This window comes from Homo sapiens, chromosome 9 (assembly GCF_000001405.40).
Source record: "Homo sapiens chromosome 9, GRCh38.p14 Primary Assembly".
NCBI lineage: Eukaryota > Metazoa > Chordata > Mammalia > Primates > Hominidae > Homo > Homo sapiens.
Genome location: NC_000009.12, coordinates 5997578 through 6020685, shown reverse-complemented (window position 1 = coordinate 6020685; position 23108 = coordinate 5997578). Strand labels below are relative to the sequence as shown.

Below are 23108 nucleotides of genomic sequence, written 5' to 3'. Positions count from 1 at the left end.
GATTGAAAGGAGAAAGAGGTTGAGGGATAGTCAGAGAGGTTGGAGAAGACAGTAAAAAGAGGCCGCTTACCAGATTTAAAATTGGTGAGATGTTCCTTGGGCTGGTTGGTCTGAGGACCAGAGGTCATAAGTGGATCTTTCTCATGGAGCAAAGAGCAGGAGGACAGGGGATTGATCTCCCAAGGGAGGTTCCCCGATCCGAGTTATGGCACCAAATTTCACTTGCGTCTGTGTGAAGAGGCCACCAAACAGGCTTTGTGTGAGCAACAAGGCTGTTTATTTCACCTGGGCACAGGCGGGCTGAGTCCGAAAAGAGTTAGTGAAGGGAGATGGGGTGGGGCCGTTTTATAGGATTTGGGTAGGTACAGGAAAATTACAGTCAAAGGGGGTTTGTTCTCTGGCTGACAGGGGTGGGGGTCACAAGGTGCTCAGTGGGGGAGCTTTTGAGCCAGGATGAGCCAGGAGAAGGAATTTCACAAGGTAATGTCATCAGTTAAGGCAGGAACAGGCCATTTTCACTTCTTTTGTGTTGGAATGTCATCAGTTAAGGCAGGAACAGGCCATTTTCACTTCTTTTGTGATTCTTCAGTTACTTCAGACTATCTGGATGTATACGTACAGGTCACAGGGGATATGATGGCTTAGCTTGGGCTAGAGGCCTGACAGATATGATACCCTTCATGATCTGGCCTTTATTTAACTTTCTGTCTTCCTCCTTCCAGCTTCCTGTATCATCCCCAGACCCCCTCAAATCCCATGCTCACCGCCCCAGCATTACTGAAACACTGGCAGAACTCTCATCACAGTACACCTGAAGGCCTCTCTGTGTCTGAAAAAGCTGTACCCTTTACTTAGAACAACTTTCTCTCTTTTCAAATGGTTAATGAGGACTCATTCTTCAAAAGTCAACTCTGATACCTCCTCTGGGAAGCCTTACTTGATCAACCCCATACCCAGAGTAAATTAGCTGCCTCCATAACCCCATATGGCTCCATGGCAGGCTTATCATTACTACAGTGATCACTACGCTATGTGACATTTACTATCTCTGTTTACTATGAGATTCACATATCTTCATGAATTTAGTCTTTAATACCAGCAACTCAGCACCATGCTTGAGTGTACCCTCAAAGAATGCTTGCTGAGAGACTAATTGAATAATTGCATACTCTTTTTCTTTCTTTTTGTTTTGAGACGCAGTCTCGCTCTGTCACCAGGCTGGAGTGCAGTGGTACAATCTTGGCTCACTGCAACCTGCGCCTCCCGGGTTCAAGCAATTCTCCTGCCTCAGCCTCCCAAGTAGCTGGGACTATAGGCACGCGCCACCACGCCCAGCTAATTTTTGTATTTTTAGTAGAGATGGGGTTTCACCATGTTGGCCAGGATGGTCTCAATCTCCTGACCTTGTGATCCGCCCAACTCGGCCTCCCAAAGTGCTGGGATTACAGGCATGAGCCACTGCACCCGGCCAAATAATTGCATAATCTTAACCCAGAATTTTTCAAACATTTTTTTCTTTTTCTTTTTTCTTTTTTTTTTTTTTTTGAGATGGAGTCTCCCTCTGTCACCCAGGCTGGAGTGCAGTGGTGTGATCTTGGCTTACTGCAACCTCCGCCTCCTGGGTTCAAGCAATTTTCCTGCCTCAGCCTCCCTGAGTAGCTGGGACTACATGCGCACACCACCAAGTCCAGCTAAATTTTTTGTATTTTTAGTAGAGACGAGGTTTCACCATGTTGGCCAGGCTGGTCTCGAACTCCTGACCTCAGGTGATCTGCCCAACTTAGCCTCCCAATAGCCTCCCAAAGTGCTGGAATTACAGGCATGAGCCACTGCGCCCAGCTCATTTTTTTCAAAGAGGTTGTACCAATTTACCTATACTCTCAACAAAAATATAACTGAGTTTCCTGTTGTTCCACATCCTCAGCAACCCTTGGCTTTGTCAGACTTTTAAAGCATTGTGGTAGGTCTGTGGTGGTGTATCACTGTGGTTTTTTTCAATGTCTTTCATATGCTAGTGGATATAGTATTAAGTAATTAATTAATTATTATTAACATTTCCTGAAACGGCAAATGCAAAGTCCCTCCAGTTAGACTTTTTGAAGGAACAGTAAGAAAACCAATGAATGGGCCAGGTGTGGTGGCTCATGCCTGTAATCCTAGTACTTTAGGAGGCTGAGGCAGGTGGATCACTTGAGGTCAGAAGTTTGAGACCGGCCTGGCCAACATGATGAAACCCTGTGTCTACTAAAAATATAAAAATTAGCTGGGTGTGGTGGTGCATGCCTGTAATCCCAGCTACTCAGGAGGCTGAGGCAGGAGAATTGCTTGAACCCAGGAGGCAGAGGTTGCAGTGAGCTGAGATCGTGCCATTGCCCTCCAGCCTAGGTGACAGAGCGAGACTCCATCTAAAAAAAAAAAAAAAACAAAGAAAGAAAGAAAACCAATGAATGCACAACTGTAGTCATAATCTTAGAACCAGAATTGATCTTATCAGCGATTCTCAAATGTTGGTATTTATATAAAAACCCAATGTGCTGGTTGAAATTGTACATTCTTAGTCCTCAGTCCCCCCAGAATTCTGGGTTAATAGGAACTTGGGCCCTAACATCTATATTTTAAAATAGGTATCCCAAGCAATTCTAATGCAGTTGGTTTTCAGTCTACAGAATGAGAAATTCTATTTTAGAAAATAGCTCTGTTTCATATTACAGTGTCTTTTTTATGAGACAGAGTCTTGCTGTGTCGCCAGGCTGGAGTGCAGTGATGCAATCTCGGCTCACTGCAACCTCTGCCTCCCAGGTTCAAGCGATTCTCCTGCCTCAGCCTCCCGAGTAGCTGGGACTACAAGCATGTGCCACCACGCCCAGCTAATTTTGGTACTTTTAGTAGAGACGGGGTTTCACCGTGTTGGCCAGAATGGTTTTGATCTCTTGATCTCGTGATCTGCCTGCCTCAGCCTCCCAAAGTGCTGGGATTACAGGTGTGAGCCACCATGCTCGGCTACAATGTAATTTATGAGACTACCTACTTTGTCTATCATCTGGTTAATGTAAAAGCTACGACTTTCTAATTTTTGTGGGTATATGCGGCAGCACTTTACAAAAACAAAATTAAGGCTGCTTGGAAAAGTTTAAGACAGAATTTGCAGTAAGTGAAGCCTCTGATCATGCTGCAAAACCAAGAGTAGTTAATGGGGAAGCAATATGGTGAAAAGAGCATCAGTGTCACTTTCAGAAGAGGTAGAATTGAGACTCAGGTGTGTCATCCTAGGCAAATCCTGTAACTTCCCTTAGTTTCCACTTCTCACCTAAATTTAGTATTATATCTATCCTAGCAATCTCTCAATTCTGTATAAGGGTCAAAATGAGTGTGGCAAGTGCTAATACAAAAGTAAGACCTAATCATTGTTATAGGAATGAAACTTGTTTTTGATTGACACACCTGCCTGAATTAAAGAAACAAACTGGCCAGGCGCGGTTGCTTACACCTGTAATCCTAGTACTGTGGGAGGCCGAGGCGGGTGATCTCTCACGAGGTCAACAGATCGAGACCATCCTGACCAAACATAGTGAAACCCCGTCTCTACTAAAATACAAAAATTAGCTGGGCGTGGTGGCATGCGCCCATAGTCCCAGCTACTCAGGAGGCTGAAGCAGGAGAATTGCTTGAACCCAGGAGGCAGAGGTTGCAGTGAGTTGAGATCGCACCACTGCACTCCAGCCTGGCGACAGAGCGAGACTCCATCTCACAAAAAAAAAAAAAAAAAAAAGAAACAAATTTAGTTTCATCAACATTTGTTTCTTGGAATAACCTCAGCAGCTTCCCACTAATGGTTAGTTAGGATTCTAGTTAACCGCATCCCTTCATATTTCAGTTTAGACAAGATGCAAGGAAAATCTTGAGTAACTTGTCCTAGGATACAAAATTAATTTAGTGACAAGGCCAGGATGCAAGTCTGTCTTCTGATTATTAGTTCAGATCACTTTCTACCATACTTTACTCAGTTGTCTTTCCCATTCTTTATTATAACCAACAGGCCAGGTGATTCTGACACACACCAGATTTTGAGCTACCACTCTACTGCATTAGATGTGGTAGTGGGGAAGTAATTATTATTTTATTATCACACTTATTATTTTATAAAGCTTTATTGTAGTATTATTTATATGCCATACAATTCACCAATTTAAATTTAACAACTCAATGGTTTTTAGTATAATCACAGAATTGTGCAACCATCACAATTAATTTTAGAACATTTCATCACTCAGAAAGAAACACCCTATTTGATAGCAGTCATTCTCTATCCTCCCCTCCCCCCAACCTCTGGCAACCACTAATTTCTGTTATACAATTTGCCTGTTTGGTACCTTTCATACAAATGGAATCATACAATATGTGGTTGTGACTGGTTTCTTTCACTTGGCATGTTTTCAAGATAGACTTATTGTTTTAAAATTATCAAAGTAACAATATAGTTTAGAAATAAAAGAAAAAAATCACTCATAATCTGACCAGAAGCAGTGGCTCACACCTGTATTCCCAGTACTTCGGGAGGCCGAGGCGGGCAGATCACCTGAGCCCAGGAGTTCGAGACCAGCCTGGGCAACATGGCGAAACCCTGTCTCTATAAAAAACACAATTAGCCGGGCGTGGTGGCGCGCGCCTGTGGTCCCAGCTACTGGGGGAACTGAGGCGGGGAGGATCGCTTGAGCCCAGGAGGTTGAGGCTGCAGTGAGCAGGGATCGCGCCGCTATACTCCAGCCTAGGTGACACAGCCAGACCTTGTATCCAAAAAAAAAAAAAGTCATGATCCCATTCTAATCAATGCTTTTCTTCTCTCGCCTGCAAGTGCACGTTTATCTTATTGAAAAACAAATGGAGGATGCCATTGGCCTCCACACGGCTCTCACCTCTCTCCAAAACCTAGCTCGCAGCCTGCCAGAGCGCAGCTAGAGTTTCTGGGCAGAGGAGGGAGAAGCACCCCGCCCATCCCCGCCGGCGCCTCGCCTACGTCACTGCTTCGAGCCGCAGACCCCCTCCCTCCTTCCCGGTCGCGGTAGCTTTGACAGAGCGCAATGGCGGCAACCGCGTCTGCAGGGGTGCCGGCGACCGTGTCAGAAAAGCAAGAGTTTTACCAGCTTCTGAAGAACCTGATCAATCCAAGCTGTATGGTGCGGAGGCAAGCAGAGGAAATCTATGAAAATATCCCAGGTCTGTGTAAGACTACCTTCCTCTTAGATGCCGTCAGAAATAGAAGAGCAGGTTATGAGGTGAGACAAATGGCTGCCGCACTGCTACGACGGCTTTTGTCCTCTGGGTTTGAGGAGGTTTATCCAAATCTGCCTGCTGATGTTCAGAGAGATGTCAAGATTGAACTGATTCTGGCTGTTAAGTTAGAAACACATGCTAGCATGAGGAAAAAACTTTGTGATATTTTTGCAGTGCTGGCCAGGAATTTGATAGATGAGGATGGCACTAACCACTGGCCGGAAGGTCTGAAGTTTCTTATTGATTCAATCTACTCCAAAAATGTGGTTCTATGGGAAGTTGCACTTCACGTTTTCTGGCACTTTCCTGGGATTTTTGGGACCCAAGAGCGGCATGATTTGGATATCATCAAACGGTTGTTGGACCAGTGTATTCAAGATCAAGAACATCCAGCAATCAGGACATTATCCGCTAGAGCTGCAGCTGCATTTGTACTTGCTAATGAGAATAATATTGCTCTTTTCAAAGACTTTGCAGACTTGCTTCCTGGAATCTTACAGGCTGTGAATGACTCATGCTACCAGGATGATGATTCAGTGCTAGAATCCCTTGTTGAGATTGCAGATACCGTACCTAAGTACTTGGGTCCTTATTTAGAAGATACTCTACAGTTGAGTTTGAAGTTATGTGGAGACTCTAGGCTTAGTAATCTGCAGCGCCAGCTGGCCCTCGAAGTTATAGTGACCTTGTCTGAAACTGCCACTCCGATGTTGAAAAAACATACAAATATTATTGCACAGGCAGTTCCTCATATATTAGCAATGATGGTTGATCTACAAGATGATGAGGACTGGGTAAATGCTGATGAAATGGAAGAAGATGATTTTGACAGCAATGCAGTTGCTGCGGAGAGTGCACTAGACAGACTGGCTTGTGGGCTTGGTGGAAAAGTTGTTTTACCAATGACCAAGGAGCATATCATGCAGATGCTTCAGAGCCCTGACTGGAAGTATCGACATGCTGGATTAATGGCCTTATCTGCCATTGGAGAAGGATGCCATCAACAAATGGAATCAATTCTAGATGAAACAGTTAACTCCGTTTTGCTTTTTCTTCAGGATCCTCATCCAAGGGTGAGGGCTGCAGCCTGTACTACACTTGGACAGATGGCTACAGATTTTGCACCTAATTTCCAAAAGAAATTTCATGAAACAGTGATTGCAGCTCTGTTACGTACCATGGAAAATCAAGGTAATCAGCGTGTGCAATCACATGCAGCTTCTGCTCTTATTATTTTTATTGAAGACTGCCCTAAATCATTGCTAGTTCTATATGTGGATAGTATGGTGAAAAATCTACATTCCGTCTTGGTGATTAAACTTCAAGAGTTGATTCGGAATGGAACTAAGTTGGCTTTGGAACAACTTGTGACAACCATTGCATCAGTTGCAGATACAATAGAAGAAAAATTTGTCCCATATTATGATATATTCATGCCCTCACTAAAGCACATTGTTGAGCTTGCTGTTCAGAAGGAACTCAAGCTTCTGAGAGGAAAAACTATCGAGTGCATTAGCCATATTGGTCTTGCTGTTGGGAAGGAAAAATTTATGCAAGATGCATCAAATGTGATGCAGCTGTTGTTGAAGACACAATCAGACTTAAATAATATGGAAGATGATGACCCTCAGACCTCTTACATGGTTTCAGCATGGGCTAGAATGTGTAAAATTCTTGGAAAAGATTTTCAACAGTACCTTCCACTGGTTATCGAGCCTCTTATTAAGACTGCTTCAGCTAAACCTGATGTTGCTCTCTTAGACACACAGGATGTGGAAAATATGAGTGACGATGATGGCTGGCAATTTGTAAATCTTGGAGACCAGCAGAGTTTTGGAATTAAAACTTCAGGACTTGAAGCAAAAGCAACTGCTTGCCAAATGTTGGTTTACTATGCTAAGGAGTTAAGGGAAGGGTTTGTGGAATATACAGAACAAGTTGTGAAGCTGATGGTTCCTTTACTGAAATTTTATTTCCATGACAATGTTCGAGTGGCAGCAGCAGAGTCCATGCCTTTTCTCCTGGAATGTGCAAGAATTCGTGGCCCAGAGTATCTTGCACAGATGTGGCAATTCATATGTGACCCCTTAATCAAGGCTATTGGTACTGAACCAGATACAGATGTGCTCTCAGAAATAATGAATTCTTTTGCAAAGTCCATTGAAGTTATGGGAGATGGTTGCCTTAATGATGAACACTTGGAAGAACTGGGAGGAATACTGAAAGCAAAACTTGAAGGGCACTTTAAAAACCAAGAATTGAGACAGGTGAAAAGACAGGAAGAAAACTATGATCAACAGGTTGAGATGTCTCTGCAAGATGAGGATGAATGTGATGTTTATATTCTGACCAAAGTATCAGATATTTTGCACTCATTATTTAGTACTTATAAGGAAAAGATTTTACCATGGTTTGAACAACTACTTCCATTAATTGTAAATCTAATTTGTTCAAGTAGGCCATGGCCAGACAGACAGTGGGGATTGTGCATATTTGATGACATCATAGAGCACTGCAGTCCAACTTCATTTAAATATGTAGAATATTTTCGGTGGCCAATGCTACTAAATATGCGAGATAACAACCCTGAAGTCAGGCAAGCTGCTGCTTATGGCCTGGGTGTCATGGCACAGTTTGGTGGAGATGATTATCGTTCTTTATGTTCAGAAGCTGTTCCACTTCTGGTAAAAGTTATTAAGTGTGCAAATTCCAAAACCAAAAAAAATGTCATTGCTACAGAGAACTGTATCTCAGCAATAGGGAAGATTTTGAAGTTTAAGCCTAACTGTGTAAATGTAGATGAAGTTCTTCCACACTGGTTATCATGGCTTCCACTGCATGAAGATAAAGAGGAAGCTATTCAGACTTTGAGTTTTCTCTGTGACCTAATTGAAAGTAACCACCCAGTTGTAATTGGTCCAAATAATTCCAATCTTCCCAAAATAATCAGTATAATTGCAGAAGGAAAAATTAATGAGACTATTAACTATGAGGATCCTTGTGCCAAACGCCTAGCTAATGTCGTGCGTCAGGTACAGACTTCTGAAGATTTATGGTTGGAATGTGTATCACAACTTGATGATGAACAGCAGGAAGCCTTACAGGAGTTGCTAAATTTTGCTTGAAGCACTTTAATATAACTTGAATATTATCTATTATAAAAGTAACTACAAATAAGTGTTGTGAATAGATTTTATTATAAATCAGAGAACTGTTTTCTCCCTGCTAAGCAGTTTATAGTTCTTCTCCATGTTTCTCCAGAATTAATCAGTGTTAGTCCTCTGTTTATCTCGCATGTTTTATCTTCCAAACACAGACCTTGGTGATAACCTGTGCTTCAAACTGTCTTAAACAATGTTTGTCACCTTTCCCCTAGTTGATGTAAAGTATATAAATTGTTGCTATTTGTTTGAACTATTATTGATGCTAGCCAAGCAGTATACTTGATGTGAAGATGTCATGCTATCACAATATGCTAAGAGCTCACAAAAATAAGATAGAATTTCCAGGACAAACATCTTTGGAATTGTGAGTGAAGGATATAGTGGCAGGCTTGTCCCTCTTTAATTAATACTCTTGGTATTTGTGGTGATGGGAGGATGCTGTTACTAGGAGAGTTTTGAGATACTGCAGTGGATGTGGGATGTATATGAACTTCTTCATAATGTACTCCTGGGAACTGGGTAGGACATATCCATATTGTAGTTCCCAAGGTGTCTGGTTGAGAGTTAGAGAACTTTTAAATTTCTTTAGCCAGACAGGTCTCTATTTTTTTAAGTTATCCAGGACTCCAAGAACCATAGTTACTGAAAAGGGAGTCCTGATACATCTAATATTGGTAGCATGTAACAGTGTTTGACAAAGAGTAAGTAAGCAGTATTCTTGGGAGTCAGTGTTATGTGTTTCAGCAGAGTATTATTTTGTATATGTATGCCATTTTCTCCCTGCAAAGCAGCTCAACAAGAGAAAAAGCTCTAGTTATAGGGCTTAAATTGATTTCTATTTCAAATAATTTCCTAAGAGATTCTAGAGTAGAACTGAAGAGTATTCTATTGGAAAAGTGAAAGGAAAGAAATGTAATTTTCTTTGAACATGAAAAAGAAAACAACTTTGAGAGTAGTCATTTAGCAGTAGATGTGCATTATTATGAGAAAACAGTTCTATAAGTCCAGGGTTAATTATATTAATTGGAATGTCAGTCTTTAATGTCGAGCTTATTGTAGGGTAGAAAAGAGCTTTCTACTCAGCTAACGATTACTCATTGATCCAAAACTTAAATACATCTATAATTTCCTGGGGCTATTGTGAGTACTGTGTATGTATTTAGCAAATATTTAAGACCTAGTAAGTGCTCAATAAATTGTAGCTGTTATTGCTGTTGTTGTTTGTACCTCTATTGTGTCTGGAACTTCTTTTACTTTAGAATTTTCCCAATCCATTCCCTACTCATTCATATTGGCAGGCTATTTAGGCTATTGTTGACAAGAATATAAAGTTGAGATTTTAGATATGCAATTCTGTCCATTCCATGTAATTATTACTAATGGGGGAAAAAGGAAAATTAAGGACATTATGTATAGTATGATCACAATTTTTAGTATATTTAAGATAAATAAAGTATAGAAGAATGAATAGAAAAATCCCACCTCAAAGTATTAATAGAGGTTTTCTCTAGGTGGTAGGATTAAGTGGCAAATTTTCTCCTCACTTACCTATATTTTCTAATTTACCTACATACCTACAACCAACATATTTCTTGTTTTGTTTGTTTGTTTTGAGATGTAGTTTTGCTCTTGTTGCCCAAGCTGGAGTGCAATGGCACGATCTCGGCTCACTGCAACCTCCGCCTCCCAGGTTCAAGCAATTCTGCCTCAGCTTCCCGAGTAGCTGGGATTACAGGTGCGCACCACCACTCCCAGCTAATTTTTTGTATTCTTAGTAGAAACGGGGTTTCACCATGTTAGCCAGGCTGGTCTAGAACTCCTGACCTCAGGTGATCTGTCCACCTCAGCCTCCCAAAGTGCAGGGATTACAGGTGTCAGCCACCGTGCCCAGCCCATATTTCTTGTGTAATAGAGTTTCTTTTTTAAGATCAAGGACCCGATCCTACTTTCATTATAGTTAAGTTGCTATCATCTTGACCTCTTCATAACCTAGAGTTGAGGTTCCTTCTACTCACCCACACCTTTCTCTTTTATATAATCTTAATTAAGAAACCCTTTATCAACATTTCTAGCAATTCCCTACACTTTTATGTATGAGGAATTAGAAATTCTGCCAGATGACTTGGAATTAGGCACCTGGAGTTTTTGAAGTATGACAGACCTAGATTTTAACTTTGTTTAACAACTTTCTTAAACTAAGAGGCAGTTTCCTCATCTGAAAAATAAGGTTAATACCTAGCTGATAGGCTTGTTGTGAGATTAAAGGAGACAATGAATATAAAGTGCTTAGTGGCACAGGGTTCAATAATGTAAGCTAATATTGTCCAAGAGTCATGAAATAGAGCTGATGACTAAAGAGGAGTAGAGGATGTTTGCTTGGGTACGTTGGGCTTCAGATTCCTGGGCTTTGTCGAAAGAAAGGAGGAATGTCTAGTCAGACACACGTTTTGGTTGCCAGGTGCTGAAGTAAGACTGATCCCTGCATTTTTCTTTCTGTGAGCTGAGGTTCTGTGGACTCTTCAGAGTCCACAGACTCTTCTCTGAGGGGAGAGAACCCTGTAAATGCGTTATATATTACAAATGTCTGATGAGAGGAGACCTCGAATACTAGATAAAAGGTATGTGTGGAGGACAGTGTGAATACCCTAACAGAGCGTTCCCGCTTCACTATTTTACTTAAGAGTGATACTTAACTTACTGGACAAAAACAGCTTTGAGGTTAAAAAAAAATTTTATCACTGCTTTAAAGTTCACATTAATGAGAAGTAAACAATTGCAAGAGTCAGAGTATCCTAATCATTTAGTTATACACATTTTACTTTTAAAATGCATGATTTCTGTAATTTTGTTTTTGTGTTTAGGTAATTCTAGGTTTTAACGAGGGTTCTGTGTACCTAGAAAAAATAATATGTGCGTCTTTCAAATAGAACATGAGGAAATAGTAGTATTTGCTTTATGGAACCATGAATTCCTACCTCCCAACTAATTTTAAGTAACATGTAAACCAATGTGAATGATGAGTCCACTTTTTAGTCATTAAACAGTAATTGTAAAATGTAGTGAGATTATCAGCCCATGCAAACAACTGTTTAATGCTGTACAACTCAGACATGAACTATTTTGACTGTTTTCAGTCCCAAGAATTTGTTTAAATGAGGTTCCATTCTCTTTATTCTTAACAGATCTCAAGAATCGGGAGGGTGGAAATTTGTAACTGAAAACATGGAATTAGTTCCAAAATATGAATTGATGTTAAGAGCTGGGGTTCTAAAAATCACTTCCTTTTCTTCTGCATGTGAACGTATGGTCGAGTCCTTAAACTTTCTTTCTAAACTTCTCAAAATTCTGGTTATATATAGAAGACCCGCAGTCACAAGGGAGAAAGGGTGGGAACAGAATGTAAATTTTATAGTAGAGAAGATTTACATTTTGCGCTTTCTCACTATTCATTTGCCATTAACAAAGGTTATCTAGCAACTTTAATTTTAGTTTGGGGGGCTAACACGGGTCTTGCAAAAGAAGTTTCCTCTTGAAGCACTTGCTTTAAAAAAAGCCTTTTGGCCACCTTCCCAGGCGGTAGCGAATTAAGCTGCGCAGGCGCCTTGCTTCCCCCTCCATCAACATGTTCGATTGGCCTACGATTGATTACATCATTGGTCCGCGCAACCCTAGCAGGCTTCTGGGCCTGTAGCTGAGCCGAAGCTCTTCCTTTTGCGTAGCGGGGCGGGGCACGATGGTGGCGGGGGGGGAGGGGGGAATTGTTCTACTACGCATGCGCACCGGGGATGGCGACAGGGCCTCTTTCTTTGCTTCTCTCCACAGCTCTTCCCAGCCGGGGGGCTGAGTGCCCTCCCCCTTCTCTCCCTGCCCCTCCCCTTTCTCCCCCCTCACCGCCCAGCGGGGCTTCTAACTGACAGTTGTCGCCGGGCCCCGTCCGTGCACCGCCTCCTTCTGCCCGTGTCCCCCGCAGGTAGAGGGGGGCGGGAGGGGGTGTGAGGGAGAGGAGGAGCCGGAGCCGCCGCTGCGGCCCCCTCCGGGGAGGGGAGAGGAGAACCCCCTTCCTCCTCGCCCCCTCCCAGCCCCCCGCTGGCCCGGGAGGGGGTGGGGCGCCGAGGCCGCGGCGACCCGGCAGGGCCTGGCCGGTGAAGAGCAGGCGGGCGGGGTGCGGAGGGGTGAGGCCGGCGAGGGCCGTGCGCGCGCCGCCGCCGGGGGGGAGGGGAGAGGAGGGCACCTAGGCTCTCCTCTTCTCTCCCCCCTCCTCGCGCGCCATGTAACCCCGCCCCGCCGGCGGTGAGCTCAAGACCCCCGCGCGCACCGAGCCGAGCCGGCGGCTGAGGAGAGCCAGGCCCGATGTGGCGGGGGCTACGCGCCGCGGCCGAGCCGTGAGGAAGCGGCTCGCGCTCACGCGTCCCCCAGCACCTCGAGCGGCTGTTCCACACCGCCCAGCCTAGGCCTGCCGGGGCATGAGTGTGCCCGGGACGCCGGGAGCGATGGAGCCGGCTGGGGAGGAAGAGCGGCCGCCACCGGCGGCCGAAGGAGAGGACGACGAGGAGGAGGTGGCAGCGGCGGCCCAGACCTCAGGGCCGGCCCACGGAAGGAGTGCCTCCTCGCTGGAGGACGCGGACGATCAGGAGGAAGAGATGGAGGCGATGGTGATCGGAGGCGGTTGCTGCAAGGAGCAGGAGCTGACCTACGAGCTACAGCAGGGCTACCGCATCCTGGGCGAGTTCCTGCAGGAGAAGCACCGGGGCCTCACCGCCCCCTTTCTGCAGCCCTTGGGGGGCGTTGCCACCGCGGAGGAGGAGGTGGCGGAAGGGCCGCGCAGCGGGGGCCGGGGCGGTCGCGCCTTCCCGCAGCAGCCCGGACAGGGCATGTGTCTGCTGCAGATGGAAGAGAAGTTCGCCAGCGGCCAGTACGGGGGCATCACCGAGTTCGTGGCGGACTTCAGGTTGATGCTGGAGACGTGCTACCGCCTGCACGGAGTGGACCACTGGATCTCCAAACAGGGCCAGAAGCTGGAGATGATGCTGGAGCAGAAGTTAGCGCTTCTCTCTCGGTAAGCGAGCCCGGTCCCCGGTGGGACTGACAGACTGACACAAACACACACTCACACGTGCCCGAGGATGGGCTGGGCCAGGGGCCTGGGGGCGGCGCTGATAGGTGCTGAGTCGGTGCTGGAGAAGCCCGGGAGGAGGAGCGGCGCTGGGCGGGGACCGGAGGGGTGTGGTGGGTGTGGGCCGAACCCGGCTTGCGCGTAGACTGAGAAGGAAACCCGAGTCTGCAGCGCTGAAGAGCTGGGTATAGTTTGCAGATGTAAAATGGAATGGGTCCCGTAGGAAGAATTGCACGTGTAGGCAGAGGAACAGTTTTTGTGGGATGGAAGTTGGACCTGCAACTTTTAGACAGTTTTAGCATGACATTTAAAACAGCGTTTAGGATGAAATATCTCTAGAAAAATAATTTTGGCTTATGTAAAAAGGTGTCTTAAACCATTAAAAAATAATTTTATCATTTACTACCCATGTCGGTCATCGAAGATTTATGGAGTGTTACTAAATGGTTAATGGTTACTTTTGCATACTACTGATCTTTTCTCTCCGTTTCATCTGAGGACACCCAATTTTTGCAATAATAGGGAATGCATCAACACACATTTTTTAAAGTTTATACATTTATGTTTATTCTACCAGAAATCATAGGCAAGTCAGATGATACTGTGCTCTTGGTATCCGCCACCCATATATCCAATTATTTAACACAAGAGGAGGATACTAAAATGAATGTATTGTTTTATAATAATTGTATAGTCTGTGTCAGCCAAGTTAATTTCTAAAGTTTAAATTTTTCGGGAGTGGAAAAATTCAATGTTTTTGGTATTGGTAGTTGAAGTGGAATAGTAGTTTGACTGTTTACTATTAGAGTGAATTTAAGTTGAGCAAGTCACTTAACCTTTTTGGCCTCAGTTTCCTCATCTATCAAGCGGGGATAATAATAGTACTTCTCTCATAGAGTTGCTTTGAGGATTTAATGAGTTAATAAATGTGAAATCAACAGTGCTGCTCCCATAGTTAGCCAAGTATAAGTGTTAGCCATTTTAATGTAAGTAGTAGCAGTCGTTGAATAATATGAGTGTATACTTCATATCTGAAACGGCATTATACTTGTGCTCTTACAGAATAGCTCCTAGAAATTGTGTTAATTTTTTGGTTCTTGATTTGTCACTGTAATTTAAAAGTAACCTTTGTCATTGGCTTCCCATATGCCATTTTCAAGACTAACGGTGATTTTTTTCACCAAAAACAGTTAACATAGTGCCTGTCTTCGTTAAGTGAGCTCTCTTTAAGGAACCTCTTCTTGAATCCTTTCATAGAGTAGGATTATTTAGTAATAGAATAATTATTCACATATTTGCTTTGTAAATTACTTTTAATACTTTAGTAATTTTGTATTTCTGTAGTGTGTTTGTTACCCTTGTCTCCACAGTGCATTATTGCTGTGACTCACATAAAAAACAATCCATTCACGTTATTATTTTGAAGTTATGAAGTATCCTCCTGATTGATGTCACAAGATTTTAGACCTGGAAGAACCTTAGAGTTCATCTAATCTATCAGATGTGGGAATAATGATTTAGAATGAGGCAAGAGAATGACTGAATGAAAGTGCTAAGAGATAGCATATGGGTTTGAATTACTGGTGTTTTCAAAAGCTCTGTGTGTAATAAACATTTATTTATTTATTTTATTTTCTCTGAGTCTCCCTCTGTAGCCCAGGCTGGAGTCCAGTGGCGTGATCTCAGCTCACTGCAACCTCCGCCTCCCGGGTTCAAGCGATACTCGTGCCTCAGCGTCCCGAGTAGCTGGGGTTAGTTGTCACCGCGCCCGGCTAATCTTCGTATTTTTGGTAGAGATGGGGTTTCGCCATGTTGGCCAGGCTGGTCTCAAGCTCCTGACCTCAGGTGATCCGCCCGCCTCGGCCTCCCAAAGTGCTGGGATTACAGGCCCTAGCCACCGCGCCCGGCCTATAATAAACATTTCTTAGTCTTAAAAAAGAGCAGACTAAGAAACTACATAAAGGTAAATTTCTAAATGCTTAGAATCATCATTCTCAGTCGTTAATGCTCAGAATACTTATATTCCCATGTGATCTAATAGTATCCATATTTAGAAATTAAACTTACAACATTGTAGTTTATAAAAATAATGTATTTCTGACATTCTTAGGCCAGTAGAGGTAAAATTCTTGCTATTTTAGTAGCAAAAAGTAGTATGACCTCAAATAGTTAATTAAAGTTGGAGTCCCTCGCTTTTTTGTATTTGATGTATGCAAACACATCAGGTTTGCGAGACCACACTTGTGGATACTAGGACATCAGTTCTTCTAGCCTAAAATCTGAGTCATTACTAACTGCTTCCAATGGGCACAACTTTGAGAAAAGCATAGGTCACAACTGTTTGAAATGCAACTAAGGTATATAGATGTTTCAAAACAATATTCTATAGAGTGTTCATGGGAGTGTGATTTTCAGCATATAGATGACTCATAGCTTATTTGTAAATATCTCAAAGTGGTATATGGTATTTTAGAAATGAAACCAATGAATCACTTAGATATTATTTGAATTTTCCGTTGACTTCTGGAATATATTTGTAAGACACTAAAGGAACTTATTTTCAAAGTGTAAAGAGACTTTAAAGCCGTTCCCTATACTGCTGAGCTTTCTAGTGAGCAATAAATGAGGTATATTAGGTAAAGAGGATACCACATTCTCATTAGAGAGCAGCCCAATAGCATTAGTACCCTGGACACAGCATATAACTTGAATCTCAGTTTCCTTATCTGTATAATGAGGGTGTTAGGGTAGAATAATTGTGCAAGTATTTAAGTATCTTCTAGAATTAGGCATTCATGTCCCTGAGATCAAAAGATAAGTTCCCTGCCCTTAAGTGGTTTGTAGTTGAGTAGGGAAACAGTTACTTAAAAATAGAATAATTCTGTAATGGATATATGAACAAAGTACAAGAGGAATTTAAAGGAAGATGACATAAATCTGAAGCGGAAGGGGTGAATGTGGGGATGACAAGTGAGACGAGGTAAGGAAGAGAAAGAGACTAGTCTATCATAGAGGTGTTTATATTTGAATTGATTCTTGAAGGAGTTGAATATTACTACTGAACTTTTTAGGAAGGTTTAACTGGGGCATTCCGAATGCTGAACTACAGTGAGTGCAAGGCATGAAACAGCATAGTATTTCTGGAAACTACAAATACTTCTGTATGCTTCACTGTGGTTTCCAGAGTAGTCTCAGCATCTCAGGAAGTAGACAGGATGACCCACTGGGGTGAGAGAAGAAAATATTAGGACTTAAGTATGTTCTGTTATTATTTTACCTTTTGAAATATCTTTTTGTTTGCTTTTTGTGATGCTTAAAGCAGCAATGCATGTAATCTATAAATAATTTATAAATATTTATGATTTTTATATTATCTATATATATTTTCAAGAGAAGTAGGACTAAAATTCAGGTCTGCTCTTTCAGTTTCCAAAAGCTGATTAATTCTCAGAATGAATTCCAAATTGGGCTACTGGTGTGTATATTGCCTTTTTCAAAGGCGGTAACATATTTTGAAAGTCCCAACACAGATTTTTAAATTTTTAGTATCAAAAATACAGTTTTGACCACGCATTGCTATAGATACAATTTTCTCTGTTAGATAACATATCTATTCTCAAGAAAGTTATATTTTAGAAGGGATCTCATTCATCCATTTGAGGCAACTGTGAGAAATAGCAATTAACATTAGAAACAGGGAGAAGATCATCTAAGTGGAAAGGAATAGAAAATAATAGGAAATTATGAAAAGAACTTTAGAGAACGTCAAATATTAGTATGAATTTTTACCTCTTCCAAAACTGATTTTTAAATGATGATATTTTTGAAAACTTTAAGAATATTGCCATGTAGGCTGAAGATGGCTTTTTCTAGTTTTGAAAGGCTGTCATTAGAAAAGATGCATCACCAGTGACACTAATAAAGCTAAATTTAAATTTTTAATTTTGCCATTTATGATAATATCTTGGTGAAAATAAGCTTGTGTATAGCTTTGTTAAAATTATTCTTGATTTCCATATTGTTACTGTTAAAAAATGGTACATGTATGGGATAAAAAGGCTTTCTTAAAATATAGCTGAAGATTATTTGGTTTTGTGATTGCTTTTTAGTTGGCAGAATATTTTTTGGATTGGGGTAAGAGTACAGCATACTTTGCCAAGTGTGGCAGCTCACGCCTGTAATCCCGGCACTTAGGGAGGCCGAGGCGGGTGGTTCACTTGAGGCCCAGAGTTTGAGACTAGCTTGGCCAACATGATGAAACCCCATCTTTACTTAAACAAACAAACAAAAAAAATTAGCCAGGTGTAGTGGCACACACCTGTAATCCCAGCTACTTGGGAGGCTGAGGCATGAGAATCACTCAAACCTGGAAGATGGAGATTGCGGTGAGCCGAGATGGTGCTGCTGCACTCCAGCCTGGGTGATAAGAGTGGAAAAAAAAAAAAAAAAAGTACAGCATCCTCATGAAGGCTCAAAAATTTGAAAATAGATGTTTCCAAGTACAAGTAGTAATCAAATTAAAAATGAATTTTTATTTTAATCTTTTCCTAAGTTAAATTTGAATTCTTACTGGCTTGCTTATCCTCAGTCAAGATCAAAACCTATAAAGTAATTGGAAATTTTAACAAAATGTTTATTTCTCCTCAGTAAATCTCACCCATCCTACCTACCACTGGATTCTGTAATGCTTTTTTTTTTATATAAATCTTTACAAATTGGGGATCTTTGGTAATAGAATCTGGATTTGCCTCATGTTCAGAACCTATGGAATGTTACAGCTTGATATTCCATGTAGTTCTATTTATTATAGTAGCCATTCTTTAAAAAATAGTGTTATTTCAAGAAGGTTCAGAAAATGTTTTAAGTGCAGTAACAGAAGTATGAAAGAGTTCAATTAACAAGACATTTATTGAGCACCTGTTTTGTTCTAGGGTTTGGGGGGCAGTCCCCACCCCCAACAGGTTTAAAAGATGGTAGAAAGAAACACATATACAGGCATAGTAAAAGGTAAAGTATGTTTAAACCATGAGTCTCAAACGTGTTCCATTGTCAGAACACTTAGAAGTCATGGTACTATTTTCACAACATCCTGAAATATGTTTTTAATTATATCATGATTTTTTTGCTAGGACATCTAAAAGGTTTAAAACAAATAATGGGAGGGAACCCTTAATTGAAGAAATTCTATGTAGTGTCTTAGTTTTTTCCCCCTACAAATTGGGAAAACATAATCACTTTCAGATTTTAGGTGATAAATCTTGGTTCAGCTCATGAATGACCATGTTCCAAGGAGCATACTTTGAGGATGTATACTACCGTGATGAGCTATATTATAGTGTGCAGAGGAGGGATAACTATTGGGAGTGGATAGCTGGGATTAAAAATATTTTATTAGATTTTATTCAAGAGATTGTAGTTTTTGAGCTAGGTTTTGAAGAGTGGGTAGAATAATGATAGGTGAAGATGTGTAGTTCATTGAACAATTATTTGAACTATTATGTGCTAGATAATATGTAAAGCCCTGTAGATACAATGACAAACATTACCTTGTCCCTTCAAGGTGATAGGTAAACAGAAACACATAATTAAAAGTTAGGTATTTGGAGGCATAATTAAAAGTTAAAGTACGGAGGCAGGAGAGTACAGAGTAGTCTAGGGGAACAGTTTATACCCAGTGGTTAGAGTATAGGATGATGAGGATATGTAGTGGCAGCTAAGTCTAGAAAGATAGTCTGGGGCCAATCATAAAGTACCGTGAATGCTTGCTAGGGAATTTAGAATCTAGGCAGTGTAGATCCATCACAGGTTGCGACTAAGGGAGTAACGTGAAGATTTTACTAGTAGTATTTTGAGGTTTGAAGGCAGAAGTGAAAGGACAATGAGGGAAGAAAACCAATTAAAAGATTATTGAGTTAATTCCATCAAGAGATAATAAACAGTAGGAATAGAAAGGTGGATGGGGATACAAAAGAGGTAAATTCAACAGGTATCAGTGGTAAATGGCAAACTGTTGAATGTGGAGTATGAAGGAGCAGATGATGTCCAAAATGAATAGAAGCATTTGAGCCCAGCTGGTGGTGATGCTTAGGGGACCTGAGAGGAGGCATTCATTTGAAGATACCCAGCTGAGAATTATAAGAGTGCATGTGGAGTCCAGCATAGTGACAAGGGCTAGAGAAGTTTAATTAGAGGGTAACTTGCTGAAGGATGATAAAGAAATAGAGTAAATGAAATTGCCCAGGACAGAGTCTAGTAAAAATACAAGGGAGCCAATGGCAGAACTTTGTGTGAGGATTGAATGTCTTCAAACTGAAAAGAAAAAAGATTAGGGTTATGATTAAAATATGTATAATGTATATTAAAAGCTGAAATGCTTAATTTAGAAAAGGGAGTTAATGAAGCTGAAAAGAATTTATTCTGGAATAAGTAAAAAGGTATTATTTGAAATATGCTGAACTTACAGACTATTATTTAAAAAGATTGTTCTTCCATTTGAAAATATTAATTTGAGAATGATTTAGAATTAAGACAATAAAAATGTCCTAACAGATTCTAATGTATTTTGCCTTATAGTTTGTTTCTCCTTATATTTGTGCCCTTGTATTTATTTTTATTTCCCAGAAGAACACTAGAGCAGGGAAGAAAAATCATATCTTGGAGAGAAAATGTCATCCCTTTCATAGTTTTATTTTAGCTTTCAGATGATCTTTAGGCTGTCTCTGTAAGATGAGAGTTGCCCAGAACAAATAATAGCCATTTTCATTTTCCAGGAACTTGTATAATAATATGAATCTTAAAATTCATGTTAAGTTACCAGAAGTTTTTTCTTTTTAATTGGGAAAGGCTAATAAGCCCCAGTGGTAGTATCTGTCACCAAACCCTTTGTTATATCGTCTTCCACCTGAGACCTATGAATGTTCCAGAAATAAGCATGCATTACAGTCAGAATATTAAGTATGTACACTTTGAAAAAAGATTCAGGAAAACCAAGAAAATGTTAGTAGTTGTTATTGTTAACTAGAAAGATCCTAGGTAGTTTTCATTTTCTTCTTTTAACTTTTCTATATGTCCTAGATATTCTACAATAAGCATATTACTTTTATATTAAAAATGTATTTTATTGAAAGGAAGTTAATATTTACAATTCTGAATAAACCATACAAGTTAAAAATTGAACACAGACAACATACCCTCCCTTAAGGGATGGACACAGTGTTCAAAAGCATGCAAGAAGGTAGTATGTGGTTAATGTGGTAAGACAAGTTCAGTTCATTATTTTTAGCATATATTTACAATGCTTATTATTTGATAGGCACTATAGGGAGATTCAAAGATGGATATAGAAAGACACAAGTGGATAAACTAAATTGGTGTAGAGGTTATTCAGGCAATAAGAACACCATATCTAAAAGTGCAAAGGCAAAAAGAGCTACTGTGTGTAGCTAGGGAATGGCCAGTAGTTTAGTTTGGCTAGAGTGTAATTATATGTAGAAAAGTAGTGACAGGTGTGACGGTGAGGGCCAGATTATGTAGCCAGATCACAGAGGGCCTAATATGCTGTGCTAATATTCGGGAGTTGTATGAAGGATTTTAAGCTAGGGAATTACAAGGGATGCATAGATGAAATGAATTAGAGAAGGAGAAAACTAGACTCAATTTGATCTTTTCCCATCCTTTAATTTTCAGCTTTGCTTATTCTTGACTTCCGAGTTAAAAGTATTGCGTTTGACTATGTTTCTTTTAGGTCTGGTGATTATATATATATAAATGTATCAGGAAAAATTAGTTTTATATATAGCAGAAATCCTAGAGCAATGCTAGATATAAGAGAAATTTTGCCAAATTGAGATAATATGCTAGATTTACATCTCCAAATAATTTGTCAGACTTAGTTGTTTTGTTTCTTTGAATAATTTCAATCTTCTCTCTGTTCTCAGGGAAAAAAATATGTTAAATACATAATTTTATCAGTTTAAGTTAGTCTACTACCAAGTTGTTTTTAGCAACTTTGCCAATAACCAAAAAAAGAATTATGGCAAATATAATTAATAAATTATAAACATATTGACAATATCAATATGCTTAATTTGACAGCTTAGTTTTTATAGACACAAATTTATATTTGTAACAGTTTAATACTTATAAGAACATAATCCTTAAAAAATACAACGTTGCTAGTAGAAGGTATTTAAAAACTATTAAATATGATAGTATTTCAAGGTATTCCACAGACTACTGACAAGTATGAGAACCATTTATATTCTTAAGTTTATCTAAATCCTTCGTACAATTCTAGTACGCTAGTGATTTCTACTACTTATTAATTCCAGGCTAGGAAATTTGATTGATAGTAATATTTAAGTCAAAGCTCTTAATCATATCCAAGACTTATTTTAAAAGTTTCATGAGAAGAGTATATAAATTATAGGATAACTGAAATCTCTTAATTTTTTACTAACAATTTAAACCCTTTTTTATCTCATATGTACACATGTATTATTTACTTACACCCAAAAAAATTAAATGCAAAGTTTGAGTTTGCTATATAGCACTTAATCATCATGCTTGGTTGCTTATGAACAAAAGCTGTAAGGATTGAGAGAAAGGAGTCTTTTCTCCTGAGAGACAGACTGGAGAGAAAAGGATCATAAAAGATTTGAAGGAGTAGGGAGCATTTAGATACCTGTGGTGGTAGGATTGACAGTATTTGCAATATAGATTATTAAAATGTTATGTGTATACATATTATGGAAATCTAAAGGAAATAGTTGAATTGTAACTAATATATGTAGACTTTTTAGCAATCCAGTGATTAGTGTTTATATTCGTAATAGTTTATTAATTAAAATGTGTACATCCTGGGGCAATAATAGAACAGTACAAGAGAAAATCTCCCTCTTTCACCAGTCTCCAGGTCTCCTACTGTTAAGAGGCCAATCCTACTGTTAATAGTTTCTTTTATCCAATTGAGTGTCCAGTAGCCATCTCAAACTTTAACATGTTCAAAACAGAACTTTTCTTTTTTTTGTTTATTTTTACTAAGTTTAGTCTTAGAGATTTGACCATCCACCAAATTGCTCTAGCCAAAAAAATAGCATTTTTCATTGATTCTTCCTACTTCTAAAGTATATTTTAAATCTTGCCTATTTCTTTCTATTGTTACCACTTAAGTAAGTGTTCTTGACTGTCCTTTACAAAACGTACAGTATGTAACTTATAGTTTGAACTTATTTATTATGTATTGTGTGTGCTTACTTTTTGTGTATCTTCTTTGCTATCCATGTAAGCTCAGAGCAGACAGGAATGTTGTCTGTGTTGTTGCCAAACCTACCCCACTACCTATAAGTGCTTAGTTAATATTGAATGAAGGAATGAATGAATGGATGGATGGATCTGCCTGAAATTTGTTTTGGTGAAGAAGTGAGGTTGAAATCCAGCTTAATTTTTTTCTCAAATACCCAGCCAGTTGTCGCAACATCAACTTTCTCCATTATTTTGAATTACCATGTTTATGATATATTATTGGTGTATTTGGATCTATTTTTCTTTATCATATGTCT

At 40.2% G+C, this 23108-nt stretch overlaps 2 protein-coding genes and 1 non-coding gene across 19 annotated transcripts in view, besides 9 other annotated features; 2 read left to right on the top strand and 1 right to left on the bottom strand.

The window, feature by feature from the left end:
* The first annotated feature begins 5061 nt into the window (after positions 1–5061).
* RANBP6 (RAN binding protein 6) lies at positions 5062–9661 on the top strand. 4 transcript variants are annotated; one of them, NM_001243203.2, is made up of 2 exons: positions 5062–5214; positions 6330–9661. In NM_001243203.2, the coding sequence occupies exons 1-2, from the start codon at positions 5079–5081 to the stop codon at positions 6398–6400; spliced, it is 207 nt and encodes a 68-aa protein (NP_001230132.1). In that variant the 5' UTR covers positions 5062–5078; the 3' UTR covers positions 6401–9661. The 4 variants fall into 3 exon arrangements, with proteins under 4 accessions (NP_001230132.1, XP_047279189.1, NP_001230131.1 ...); NM_001243202.2 differs by having other exon boundaries at positions 5062–5273; NM_012416.4 differs by having other exon boundaries at positions 5062–9661.
* Positions 5184–5243: an enhancer, noted in NCBI's record as "active region_28181". NCBI's record gives its function as "activates an Ori minimal core promoter by ATAC-STARR-seq in GM12878 lymphoblastoid cells {active_cell/tissue: GM12878}" and the evidence as "EXISTENCE:reporter gene assay evidence [ECO:0000049][PMID:35858748]".
* Positions 12137–12656: a silencer, noted in NCBI's record as "silent region_19761". NCBI's record gives its function as "represses an Ori minimal core promoter by ATAC-STARR-seq in GM12878 lymphoblastoid cells {active_cell/tissue: GM12878}" and the evidence as "EXISTENCE:reporter gene assay evidence [ECO:0000049][PMID:35858748]".
* Positions 12137–12673: a biological region, named in NCBI's record as "H3K27ac hESC enhancer GRCh37_chr9:6008013-6008512".
* Positions 12174–12673: an enhancer, noted in NCBI's record as "H3K27ac hESC enhancer chr9:6008013-6008512 (GRCh37/hg19 assembly coordinates)". NCBI's record gives its function as "activates a minimal SCP1, AML or CMV promoter by ChIP-STARR-seq in naive and primed H9 embryonic stem cells {active_cell/tissue: H9 hESC(naive and primed)}" and the evidence as "EXISTENCE:reporter gene assay evidence [ECO:0000049][PMID:30033119]".
* Positions 12204–23108, top strand: part of BRD10 (bromodomain containing 10) — a 129649-nt gene continuing 118744 nt past the window's right edge. For all 14 annotated transcript variants that reach the window (XR_007061251.1, XR_007061249.1, XR_007061250.1 and 11 more), the window contains exon 1: positions 12204–13491. Coding sequence is in view for 7 of the 14 variants with exons in the window: in XM_011517760.4 (XP_011516062.1) it covers positions 12899–13491 (593 nt within the window). In the remaining 7 variants the exon portion in view is untranslated. The remainder of the gene's footprint in view (positions 13492–23108) is intronic.
* Positions 12674–13175: an enhancer, noted in NCBI's record as "H3K27ac hESC enhancer chr9:6007511-6008012 (GRCh37/hg19 assembly coordinates)". NCBI's record gives its function as "activates a minimal SCP1, AML or CMV promoter by ChIP-STARR-seq in naive and primed H9 embryonic stem cells {active_cell/tissue: H9 hESC(naive and primed)}" and the evidence as "EXISTENCE:reporter gene assay evidence [ECO:0000049][PMID:30033119]".
* Positions 12707–12936: a silencer, noted in NCBI's record as "silent region_19760". NCBI's record gives its function as "represses an Ori minimal core promoter by ATAC-STARR-seq in GM12878 lymphoblastoid cells {active_cell/tissue: GM12878}" and the evidence as "EXISTENCE:reporter gene assay evidence [ECO:0000049][PMID:35858748]".
* MIR4665 (microRNA 4665) lies at positions 12782–12860 on the bottom strand. Its single transcript, NR_039811.1, has one exon. It is a non-coding gene; the product is annotated as a microRNA 4665 (primary transcript).
* Positions 13127–13286: a silencer, noted in NCBI's record as "silent region_19759". NCBI's record gives its function as "represses an Ori minimal core promoter by ATAC-STARR-seq in GM12878 lymphoblastoid cells {active_cell/tissue: GM12878}" and the evidence as "EXISTENCE:reporter gene assay evidence [ECO:0000049][PMID:35858748]".
* Positions 13307–13536: an enhancer, noted in NCBI's record as "active region_28180". NCBI's record gives its function as "activates an Ori minimal core promoter by ATAC-STARR-seq in GM12878 lymphoblastoid cells {active_cell/tissue: GM12878}" and the evidence as "EXISTENCE:reporter gene assay evidence [ECO:0000049][PMID:35858748]".
* Positions 13677–13736: a silencer, noted in NCBI's record as "silent region_19758". NCBI's record gives its function as "represses an Ori minimal core promoter by ATAC-STARR-seq in GM12878 lymphoblastoid cells {active_cell/tissue: GM12878}" and the evidence as "EXISTENCE:reporter gene assay evidence [ECO:0000049][PMID:35858748]".

Excerpts from the sequence above, each read along its gene's own strand:
- RANBP6 (NM_012416.4), top strand. The coding sequence starts at position 5,079 with ATGGCGGCAACCGCGTCTGCAGGGGTGCCGGCGACCGTGTCAGAAAAG.